The sequence below is a fragment of the Homo sapiens genome, chromosome 2 (genome assembly GCF_000001405.40).
Source record: "Homo sapiens chromosome 2, GRCh38.p14 Primary Assembly".
Taxonomy (NCBI): Eukaryota; Metazoa; Chordata; class Mammalia; order Primates; family Hominidae; genus Homo; species Homo sapiens.
In genome coordinates this window covers 25,420,686-25,433,000 of record NC_000002.12, presented here as the reverse complement: position 1 = coordinate 25,433,000, position 12,315 = coordinate 25,420,686, and the positions used below count along the sequence as shown (strand labels likewise).

Below are 12,315 nucleotides of genomic sequence, written 5' to 3'. Positions count from 1 at the left end.
GAGAGATCCTGCAGGAGATTCAGCGTCTCCGCCTGGAACACGAGCAGGCCTCCCAGCCCACCCCTGAGAAGGCACAGCAGAACCCCACGCTGCTGGCAGAGCTGCGGCTGCTGAGGTGAGTAGGGACACTCTACCACTTGCCACATGTAATCTACTATGGATGGAACTTATCTGAGGAAACCAAAGGAGTGGGGTAGAATCTGTTGTTCAGTATAAACAATCCTGTGAGCGCAGACCACTGAAGAGTTCACCCATTCTGTTGCTGCTTCAGATGTCTGGGTTCCATTAGAGATCACTCTAAGAATGTCAGCCATTATCACAGAACTTGGTAAATACCAGTCTCCCAGCTCCAGGACCAGCAGGGCACTGTTTATACTTCTGTGATTGCTTTAAGAAGACCACTGTGCTGCAGTCTGTCTCTTAACTTGCTAATTTGTCTGACTTTAGAGACACTTGGCGGGAAGAATGCTTTGCCTTTGCTGTGAGTATATTCTCCTGGCACTTTACAGTCAATGCAGGGCTCTGCCGAAGGAGAAGGATGCTTCCTGTGCGCATCTCTGAGACATGAAACCCTTGCACCATGGCTTCTAAACAAAGTGTCTCAAGAATCAGGAAACTAAGGACATAGGATGAGAATGGGAATAGAGAGCAGCGTCACCACCATGTTTGATGGTGTTTTGGAGGGAATGGGGAAGTCTTCACAGAAGTGATCTGATCCATTGTTAGGGTCTTATTGCCTATGAGCCTTAGAAAGGGGTGTGTGTGTGTGTGTGTGTGTGTGTGTGTGTGTGTGTACGCACTCTTCTGTAAGTTAAGACATTATGGAAACTACATTTAGTGACTTCTCACCAGATTTCTAGATTTTCAAATAGTGGATTCTTTCTGTTTAGGTTGATTTTTAATTTGCTATCATCTAGGATTCTGTGTAGCCTCTTGTTTCTTTTCCCAGAGAATGGAGATTATTGTTTTCTGTAGATGTTCTACTGTTTAGATTTATATCATCAATAAAAGTTGTCATAGTAGAGTCATAAAGAATTTAAACTGTGCAGGTGAAAAAAAATCATTAGATGTATAGAGATTTTCGTTCTCTTAAAAACTTATTTTAGTTTCTCAATGTAGTTAGGCTGAGATTTGGGTGGCTCTGTGGTTTACTGCTGCAAGTCTGTGGTGTTAGTACAGCTGGTGTCGTACTAGGGAGGATGGGAACACAAATGCTGCTGACTTGGGCAGAGTGTAAGTCTAGGCTGTTGGCGTAAGATGCACCTGTTGTCTAGTGCCTGGTTTTATATCTAGAAAAGCAAAAAGGCCTGTCATCCTGAGTCTAACTGTTGCTGAAACTGGATTGCTGAAAGTGCTCAGTTAAGCCGGAAGGATCTGAAAAATATCTTAGATGTAGTAGCAGGGCTGAGTCCAGGAATGTCACATAGGATAGCAAGAAGCAGAAATGTAAATCTGAGACCAATGAGGGTCTGAAGTTGGAGTAATCAGAAAGTATTTAACCTCAAAAGCAGTTCCTATATCACTGAAGAAAGGAGGGACTATTTTAAAGTGTGCTGGGACAGTTTTCTATGCCTATGTACAAAACATACTGGTCTTCTACTTCACACTAATTACAAAAACCGACACCAGATGGATTCAACATGAATACAGAACTTTAAAACTTCTAGAAGACTCGGGAGGCTGAGGCAGGAGAATTGCTTGAACCTGGGAGGCGGAGGTTGCGGTGAGCCAAGATCATGCCATTGCACTCCAGCCTGGGCAACAAGAGCAAAACTCCATCTCAAAAAAAAAAAAATTCTAGAAGAAAGTAGGAGAATGTCCTCAGGATTTTGGAATAGAAAGTAGTATCTCAGAATTACCATGAAAGAAGAAGTTGGTAAATCCATTTATATTAATATTAAGAACTTTTGCTTATCAAAAGACACATAAAGGGCTGGATTCACTTGTAGGTATCTGACATCTGTCTGGTTTTGATCAGTATATATGAGGCCAGGGACTGCCAGCACCCAGCTAGTATAATAAAACAAGGTAGACAACTTCACCCATAGGGTGAGTGGCTATGAGCCTTGACCACCAGGGATGCCTTTTCTTCCTTTATTATTATTTTTAATGGTACGTTGCTTACAATAAAATGTATGACGAATGTGTGTGCGACAAACGTATATGAAGCGTAATAGTCAAATGAATACTTATAAACCCACATCCTATTTGAGAACTCATAATATGACTAAAACAATGCCATCCATAGAAGTACCTCTCCCTTACCCCATTTCCTTGCCTCCACCTTCCCCACTGGGTGAACGCCTATCCAGAATTTGGTTTATCATTACCTTGTGTTTAAAACAATATTGTCGCATTATCACTATCCTATGTAATAAGCTGTTTAGTTTTGCTTTTTGTTTTCTAAGCTTAATAGAAATATTATACTAATATGGTGGGGATAGTCCCAGAGGACTTCCCTCTCCACCCCCTACCCCCACCATATTAGCCTTTAGGATCGTTCTCTGTGGTTGGATGTAGCTGTAGCTCATTCATGTTCAGCTTATACCGTAATTGTTTGGTCACACACAGTACAGATAAAGAATATCACACCCAGGCTCAGGAGTTCAGAGGAAGAAGTCTTCCTAGAACATTGAATGAGTAGATCCTTCTTATCGAGGGTCTACTGCACTGGAAATGTAGAGAGTATGAAGACTAGAAGACAATGAGTCCTTCCTAAAAACTTATAATCTGGTTTTGGAACAAAACATAAAATAATTTGATAGTTAAAAAATATTGTGCAATGTCAATAAACAGTATGGATAAGAAATCTGTGTAGGGAAATATATATAATATAATGTATGTATACACACAAGATTTTACATATATAATACCTATATAATATAGGTATTATATCTATATTTATTCCCTACCACCTTTGTGTGTCTAATTTTCCTCTGGAAGCATTTGGAACCATGGAGGTGGTAGAAGTTGAGCTAGACCATGAAAAGTAGATAATGATTTGGATGGAGTGTAGGACAAAACATTTCAGATTGGAAGTGCACTTGGGGTTCAGCATGATTCCCCCCAAATAATTATGGCACATTTCAGAAAAGGGAAAGAGTCTTGGAACTAAGAATTTCTTTTCAATCATTCATTACATCAATCTTCAGAGTGCCAGTGATAGGAGATATAATTAGCCAGGCAATTGAGATCAGATTCTAGAAAGTCTTAATTGTTAGGTCATTGGAAACCCTTGGAGAGTTTCAAATCATGATTTTGGTAAGTTCAGTAGATGTTAATTAGGTGATACTGGATGCATGATATTTTCTTAATCCTTCAATACATGCAAGGATGAGTAAGGCCCATCCCCTGACCTCAAGGATTTTGCATCATGGTAGGAATGGCAGCAGTAAAGTAAATTAAGTACCACTGAGGAGCACTAATTACTGTAGTGCTTAATCAAGCAGTCCCTGCTGAAGTGATCAGGAGCAGCTTCCCGACAGTGATGTTGGGTCAGACATTACGGAATGAATAAGATTTGGAAGAGAGGTGAGTTATAAAATGATGGAGCCCACTTAGGAAAAATGAACCGTAAGCTGGAGGTCCAGACACAAAGGGCATAAGATAGGAGGTGTGGTACTAAGGACAGGAATGTAGATGGGATCTAGAGCCGCACTCGCCGATAGAAATGCAGGCCACGCACATAATCAAAACATTTCTAACAGCCTCATTGAAAAACCAAAAAGTAATAGGCGTCATTAATTTTAATAGTATATCTTACTTAACCTGATATTTTCAAAATATTGTCCTTTCAACATGTAATCAGTATTAAAACATGATCCAGATACTTTGCTGTTTCCTGCACTAAGTCTTTGAATTCCAGTGTGTATGTTACAATTGCCGTGCATCTCAGTTCAGCCTAGCCCTGTTTCAGGGGCTCGGTAGTCACGCGTGGCTAGCGGCTGCTGTGATAGACAGCGTAGGTCTCGATTGCACAGGCAAGGGTCAGTGATGCTAGAAAGTCTGTTGAGATCATTATGGGATGATGAAATGAACATAGCTTTGTTTTGAGCGGCAGTTTAAAGTTCGTAGAACACTCTCATATTTATTACCTTATATGATCCTCAGAATATTGTTGCTGTTACTAGTCCCCTTTTAGAAGAGAGAAAACTGAGGCTAAGTGACTTGTCTAAGGTTGCATATTTGGTAAATACTGGTGCTGATACTCAACTTTGAGGCCATTGACTTCTATTTCACTGCTTTTTCCTCACCATAAAAGATGAAAGAGCCAGGTGCGGTGGCTCACGACTGTAATCCCAGCACTTTGGGAGGCTGAGGCAGGTGGATCACTTGAGGTCAGGAGTTCGAGACCAGCCTGGCCAACATGGTGAAACTCCATCTCTACTAAAAATACAAAAATTAACTGGGCATGGTGGCGATGCCTGTAATCCCAGCTATTTAGGAGGCTGAGGCAGGAGAATCACTTGAACTGGGGAAGCGGAGGTTGCAGTTGAGACAAGATGGCACCACTGCACTCCAGCCTGGGCGACAGAGTGAGACTCCGTCACAAAAAAAAAAAAAAAGAAAGCAGGATTAATCACATAAGGAGACTGTTTCATGCTTGAGGTAAGGAGTGCTTAGATAAAGTGAGAGAAATGGGAATAGAAAGATAGGCACATACATTTTCCAAGAAAGAATGATCTGAATTGAGTTATTGATTGAATACAGGATATAAAGAAGAAAGTAACAAAGAGGACTGAGTTTTTCAACCATGACACCTGGAAGGAAAAATAGCAGAGACAGGGAAAAGAGACAGAGACAAGGAAAAAAAAAGAGACAGAGACAAGAAAACCATTTAGGGAATAAAGTCTTAAGTCTGGTTTTGGACATATTGAGCTGGAGTAGATGGCATAAAATCTATCCTCAAGGAAAAGTGACTGTTCTTGAACACAGGGAGCCGTCCTGATCTGTCATCCTTCTTGAATCTGTCTAGTGCTGAAAGTACTTACTACTGGACCCTGTTTTCTCTGAGCAGTTTAATATGGTTTCTTTACTATTAATCTAAATTTGGGCTAATTTTATATATTTTTCAAAAGGCATTGATTTTCTAAAGAGTTTTTTAATCATTAATTCACTCTGGTAATATAAGTAATACCTTTATATAGTCATCTAAACTTTCCAAAGCACTTTTACCTATTATTCTCAGAACAGTCCAGGAAGTAGGCAAAACAGACATTATCACCATTTTATGAGGTATTGGATGCTAAATGACTTGCTCAGCGTCTCATAACTGGTAAGTAGCAGGATCAGGTCTGAAATCCATTTCACCTGGCCTTAGATCCATCTTTGAGGGTCTCTTTATCTGATAGGCTTCTCGTCTTGGATAGGCAAAGGAAGGATGAACTGGAGCAGAGGATGTCGGCCCTGCAGGAGAGCAGGCGGGAGCTGATGGTCCAGCTGGAAGAGCTGATGAAGTTGCTGAAGGTAAGAGCCCGTGGCCCACGCTCAGTTCTTGTCATTCTTCTCCCACCACAGCCTCAGCTGCTGCCTCCCTGTGATGTCAGAATAGGATGAGGCCAAAGGCTTGACTTTAGCCTAGAATCAGTTTTCAGATAAATTTAGCCTAATTGGGTATAAAAGTCATCTAAATTAGTGCAAAGCCAGATTATTAAAAAATTAGTAACTGGAAATAGGATAATGTCTCGAGCAGTTGCTTTTATGAATAAATAAGAATGTTTATAAATAGGATATTAGCTATGTAAAAATGAATAATATTTCTCAACTACTTAAAGTAGTGTGTGTGTGTGTGTGTGTGTGTGTGTGTGTGTGTGTGTGTGTTTTGAGATGGAGTCTCGCTGTGTCACCCAGGCTGGAGTGCAGTGGCACAATGTTGGCTCACTGGAACCTCCGCCTCCCAGGTTCAAGTGATTCTCCTGCCTCAGCCTCCCGAGTAGCTGGGATTACAGGCGCCCACCACCACGCCCAGCTAATTTTTTTGTATTTTTGGTAGAGATGGGGTTTTGCCATGTTGGCCAGGCTGGTCTCAAACTCCTGACCTCAGGTGATCCACCCACTTCAGCCTCCCAAATTGCTGGGATTACAGGCATGAGCCATTGCTCCTGGCCTTAAAGTTTCTGTTAAGACAAGTTTTCAAATATTCCACTTAAATACTTAACAAATATTAAGTGTCCTATTTCAATAAGTAGTACAGAGACAACTGTATTAGGGTTCTGCAGAAAAATTGGACCAGTAGAATGTATATAAAGATATCTAAGAGGGGATTTATTATGGAAATTGTCTCACACAGTCATGGAGGTAAAGGAGTCTCATGTTAATGCCATCTGCATCCTGGAGAACCAAGAAAGCTGGTGGTGTAATTCAGTCTGTCTCTGAAGGGTTGAGAACCAGGAGAACTGACGGTGTGATTCCGAATCTGGGAGGTGGGTTGGGAGATGGGTGGTGTTGGGTTGCTGGTTTAAGTCCCAGAGTCCAAAGGCCCAAGAACCTGGGGAGCTCACATGTCTGAGGGCATTGACTATTCACAACAGTCAAACATTGGAACTAATCCAAATGATCATCAGCAGTAGAATGGATTATGAAGTTATAGCCTATTTATACCATGAAATTGTATAATAATTAAATTGTACAAACTAGAGCTACACCCAAGCGATTTCTTCTATCCAAGTCCTCAGTGGATTGGATGATGCTGCTCATGTTGGTGAAGGCAGATCTTTTTTCAGTCTAATGATTCAAATGCCAATCTCTTTTGGAAACACCCTCACAGACACACCCAGAAATTATGTTTTACCAGCTATCTGACTATCCTTTAATCTGGTAAAGTTGACACATAAAAATAACCATCACACAAACCAACCTAATTAAACCATTCTAATCAGTAACTTCACTATATTAAGAGTAAGATAGCATATTAGCTGTAGGTTTGGGATACTGGGGAACTAAATACATGCATAATAAGTCAGGTCTATCTTGTGGCGTGATCATAGCTCACTGTAACCTTGCTTGAGCTGGGTCCAAGGGATCCTCCTTCCTCAGCCTCCTGAGTGGCTAGGACTACAGGCATATGAAGTCTATCTATTGTTGTTGAAAGTTATATTACAACCCCTGTACCCCTGAGCAAAGAAAGGCATGGTTGGCATTTGAATGCCCTCCCCCTGGACAATTTTATTGGCATCGAACAGAAATATCTACCTGGTTACATAGCAGCAATACCAGGATACTTGCTCCTGCTATTACTTTCTCAGGTCCTGCCCAGCGATGCTGAGAACTCCCTGCATTTTGTAGTATGATATCGAGTTAACAGCCAGAGAAAATCACAAAGTGTGGAGTGCCCCCAAAGCCAGATGACAGGAGTGAATTTAATCTTGTGATAAAGTGGAGTCATTGGAGGTTTTAAAAATAACAGTTTAGGAAAATGCGCAGGGCAAGTTAGAGTGGGAAGAAACTAAAGGATAATAGGAGACTAATTTCATCCTCCAGGCCCGAAGTGACAAGGATCTTAACCCCAGGAGTGGTAGCCCAGGAGAATATCAGTTTAGAGACTTTCTCCAACTTCTGCATTCTAAGTCAGTCTCTTAGTAATGAAGCTAGTGGGCATTAGCAACTTGGATAAATGTAGCATTTGTGTTTTAAACTGAATTTTGACTTGCTCAAGACAATTACTGTTTTGTTATGAGCTGAGTTGTTGGTGGTGTTGGTGGTGGTGGTGGTTGTTGTTTTTTCCCCCTAGCTTTGGCCCTGAGTATTTGGGTTGTTTTGCATAGATATGTTTCTACATTAACCCTGTTAGCAGGATTTTTCCTCAGAAATATTTTATGTCTAAATGGGTCTTATTTAAAGAAAATCTTATGTAAAAATGTGGCCTAAATCCCTCTTAATAGTTGTCAGATACCCAGCTAAGCAACCTAGCCCCTCATCTAAACAGCAGGGATGTACTTAAACATACATGGCCTGTGTAACATCTGCAGCCTCGTGGGGCTTTAAAAGCCCTGCTGCCATGGAGTTAGTACACCTGTGGGATGGGAGATAATAGGGTATCCAGTCGGGCGCAGTGGCTAACACCTGTAATACCAGCACTTTGGGAGGCCAAGATGGGTGGATCACTTGAGGCCAGGAGTTCAGCCTGGCTGACATGGCAAAACCCCATCTCTACTAAAAACACAAAAATTAGCCGGGCACGGTGGCACGTGCCTATAATCCCAGCTACTCAGGAGGCTGAGGTGGGAGGATCGCTTAAGCCCAGGAGGTGGAGGCTGCAGTGAGCAGAGATTACACCACTGCACTCCAGCCAGGGTCAGAGAGTAAGACTCAGTCTCAAAAAAAAAAAAAATAGGGGATCCACTCACCTCTTCCCTGTGTCACATCTCCCTTTTCAGAAAGATGTTCTCAAATATTACCCAAGCATAGATGGGAAAGTCCCAGTGCCCCAGTGTGATTTTTGTAAAAGGCAAAAGGTTTATGTAAACTGCAGGGAAGCCAGAGTGTATCTCCCCTAAGTAACCTTGTACCATTGCCTTTCAGTTGGATTGTCTTAGTGATCCCCAGAACTACTGACCCCAAGCCCCATGCATGCCACTGTGGCCTTCTAGTGTACCGCTGATGCTTGTATTCAAGGGCTAAGCAGAACGAGCTAATGCCCGCAACTCTGATCCCAAACCCTGAGTTTCTTTATATTTGCAGCAGTAATTTCAGAAAAATAAGCAGGACACTGCTGCCCCTGTAGGATCCCCTGCCAGGTTCTTAAATATCATTTACCCGTCTGACAGGCTAAGGCTGTTCAGACTGGGAGGAAGAATTTGCAAACACAAATCTAGGAATGTTGCCTTTCTATCCATTGGCTAGAATTCACAGTCGAAAATCTCATGCCTTTAGTGTCCAGCTTCCTAAAAGAATTACCACGTAATCTTAATTTTTGTATTATATGCATACCTGAAAGGTCATACACAGGAATTACTGACTTCTGTTAAAATTTCAGTGTTTTCCTACTATTAGAAATATATATTCATCAACCCATAAAAGTACCCTTTAGAATCCTAATTTTAGGCCAGGTACAGTGACTCACACCTGCAATCCCAGCACTTTGGAAGGCCAAGGTGGGTGGATCACCTGAGGTCAGGAGTTTGAGACCAGCCTGGCCAAAGTGGTGAAGCCCCATCTCTACCAAAAATACAAAAGTTACCTGAGCGTGGTGGTGCGCGCCTGTAATCCCAGCTACTTGGGAGGCTGAGACAGGAGAATCGCTTGAACCCAGGAGGTGGAGGTTGCAGTGAGCCGAGATCACACCACTGCACCCCAGCCTGGGCAACAGAGCAAGAAAAAAAAAAAAGAAAAGAAAATCCTAATTTTAATTTAAAAGGGGTTGTCTGCTTTTATTGATGTTCAGTATGCTAGCATTTAATTCTCTCATAAAATAGTCGGAAGCAGTTAGTCAGATGGACAATCAAGCCACATGGTCTGAGATACTCATAAATTAAAATACATCTCACAGTAAATTTTCATGCCACAGAGAGTTCTTTCATTCTGCTGCTTCAGGAAACTATTATGTACTTTATCTTCTATCTGAAATGATAATTTAAAGAAGCATACATAAGAAGTGACATCACTGTTAATTCATTCAACAAAAATCTTAATCCTTTTTTGGAATAAAGCAGGGTTAAAATTAATTTTTTTGTTTCTTTAACAAAAATCTATTGAGTTCCTAAGTGTCACATTAGTTATTTGGCATATCATGGTGACTAGACTCAATCCCTGATCAATCAAGGAGTATCAAGGACCCTCCTTCTTTGTTTTTTTGTTTTTTTGTCTGAGATGGAGTCTCACTCTGTTGCCCAGGCTGGGGTGCAGTGGCACAATCTTGGCTCCCTGCAACCTCTGCCTCCCGGATTCAAGTGAGTCTCCTGCCTCCTGCCTCAGTCTCCTGAGTAGTTGGGATTACAGGCACCCGCCACCACAACCAGCTGATTTTTGTATTTTTAGTAGACGGGTTTCACCATGTTGGCCAGGCTGGTCTCGAACTCCTGAGCTCAGGTGATCCACCCACCTTGGTCTCCCAAAGTGCTGGGATTACAGGCGTGAGCCACCCTTTATTCTTTTTAATGACATAATGTAGACTGACACTCAGGCATTCATGTTTCTCTACATATCTTTCCCTTATACTTTTTACCTGATTAATGAGTATTAATTAATTACTGACCTCAAAAAAACTTCCTATTTAATCTAGAAGTGTTTATGTGTTGGTGTTTCTAATCCATGTTCTACTTCATTTTCCATTTGTCTGATATTGCTTTTGAAACTCATTTTACCAGGCCAGGCGTGGTGGCTCATGCCTATAATCCCAACACTTTGGGAGGCCGAGGCAGGTGGATCACCTGAGGTCAAGACCAGCCTGGCCAATATGGTGAAATCCCACCTCTACTAAAAATACAAAAATTAGCCAGATGTGGTGGTGCATGCCTATAATCCCAGGTACTCAGGAGGCTGAGGCAGGGGAATCACTTGAACCCAGGAGGCGGAGGTCACACTGAGCCGAGATCGCGCCATTGCACTCCAGCCTGGGCGACACAGTGAGACTCCATCTCAAAAAAAAAAAAAAAAAAAAAAAAAAAAGAAGAGAAAAGGAAACTCATTTACATTTACCAGATGAATTCTGCAGTTTTGAATTTCAACCTCATTTGCAAATGCTTATCTAGTTTGAGTGTAAATTTTTATGTAAATGACTACAGTGGCTATGTCATTGCTTTGGCCACCTTGCCAGACCTCATTCATGTGGAAGAGACTCACATGTTTTTAGGTGACATAAGCAGTTCTAAGTTTACACTTTATAATTAAGGTATTACCCCCTTTTAAATCACGTTGGCTCTATCCCTTGTCATCAGTCAATATTTAGTGACCCCACCTGACTAGTTGATAACACAGAGGTTCTCAGACCTGGGATCTGACCTGTTTACTGTGTTGACAGAGCCTTAAGGGCTTTATCTGAATAAGTTTTGTGAGTTTAAATTATACAACACTATCCTAAATAACACTTTGCCAAAGTCCATTCTCTCCCCAGTACCAGGCCACATGGAAGGCCTGTAAGTCCTGGAAGCGCTGCCCTGCCCACTGTCCCCAGCCTAACCTGATATATCTACTGCAAATTACGGTTTCTCTTCTGACAAACTTAAATTGCAATCACCAGATGTCCAAGTATGAAACATTGCTTTCTGAATTTCCCTATTCTGTTGAGCCACAGCAGTGTTCTCTTTAATACCAAACCTGGAGAAAACTGTGGAAGTAGGGAGATGTCTTAGAAACAGTTCTAAGAAATTACATACTGGTCTTTTGACCTCGGATACAATTTCAGCCTGTTAGGATTGCCCCATCCCTCCCCAACCATCGCACTTTCCACTTCAACACAGTGCCAGCAATGAAAACACATTTTATAATTGTTTAATAACTGTCCTATGACTGTTTGCCTTGCCTCAAGAATATAAGAAAAGTGTCCTGCCCCAAAGGGAAGTCTGGCAAGGAAGAGAGCTTGCTTCCTAACTGCAAAGCAGGTGCAAAAGCAGAAGCGCTCTAATTCCTTCCCGCTGCCAGAGCCAGTGTTCAGCGCTCTGTGCCTAGGCTCCTGTGAGTTTGGCTTTGGTCAGGCATCCAGCATCTGGCTTTGATTGTGAAGAGCACCTTCCCATGCTGAGTTGGGAGTCTCCTTAAGAGATTTCTCGGTGCCCATTTATTTCTAGTCCCTGTCTGTCCCTTGCAGTAATAAAAATTATGTTCTCCAAGTGTTTACTCACCCTCTCCCTTTCGTAATTCCTTTGCTTTACTGAGGTCTTTCTCACCATTGCACCCAGGTCTGTAGACTGTGTGGGAGCAGGAGCACTTACCCATTCCTGAGACTTCCTAGGCACGTACATGTTCAGTAAAGACTGGCTGCATGAATTGTTCCAATTTAAATAGAACCATTGCACAGCTTTTAGATTTACATACTAGGCCAAAGAGCTGAGTCTCCCTGACCACAGTGACCCATGGTGAGGCACAGAAGGAGGAAGTGGAAGAGGCCCATTAAAAGACAGAGTAGATGAGTAGCAAAGAACTGAAGAAAGAGAAACTTGAAAGTGTTCTCTTTATCCTTTTTCCTGCAGTGTCTGATAGTGCATTCATTTGGGCAGTCAGCTAATAGCCAGCAAGTGCCTGCTCTGTGTTCCATCACCATAAGGTTCTAAAAGACAGAGACCGGCCAGGTGCAGTGGCTCACACCTGTAATCCCAACACTTTGGGAGGCCAAGGTAGGCGGATCACCTGAGGTCAGGAGTTAGAGACCAGCCTGACCAA

At 42.0% G+C, this 12,315-nt stretch overlaps 1 protein-coding gene and 1 long non-coding RNA gene across 35 annotated transcripts in view; one reads left to right on the top strand and one right to left on the bottom strand.

The window, feature by feature from the left end:
- DTNB (dystrobrevin beta) overlaps positions 1–12,315 on the top strand; it is a 296,335-nt gene that overhangs the window by 240,577 nt on the left and 43,443 nt on the right. For 27 of the 30 annotated variants that reach the window (NR_147180.2, NM_001320935.2, NM_001351393.2 and 24 more), the window contains 2 exons: positions 2–115; positions 5,370–5,466. Coding sequence is in view for 29 of the 30 variants with exons in the window: in NM_001320935.2 (NP_001307864.1) it covers positions 2–115; positions 5,370–5,466 (211 nt within the window). In the remaining variant the exon portion in view is untranslated. Of the gene's footprint in view, position 1; positions 116–5,351; positions 5,467–12,315 lie in introns of all 30 variants that reach the window. The other 3 variants (NM_001351385.2, NM_001351383.2, NM_001351387.2) reach the window with 1 other exon arrangement.
- DTNB-AS1 (DTNB antisense RNA 1) lies at positions 2,081–11,908 on the bottom strand. Of its 5 annotated transcripts, NR_183379.1 has the most exons (4): positions 11,868–11,908; positions 9,486–9,558; positions 6,286–6,415; positions 2,081–5,534 (listed from the first exon to the last, which is right to left on the bottom strand). It is a non-coding gene; the product is annotated as a DTNB antisense RNA 1 (long non-coding RNA). The 5 variants fall into 5 exon arrangements; NR_183380.1 differs by lacking the exon at positions 6,286–6,415 and having other exon boundaries at positions 2,081–5,577; positions 11,778–11,908; NR_183382.1 differs by lacking the exon at positions 6,286–6,415 and having other exon boundaries at positions 11,778–11,908.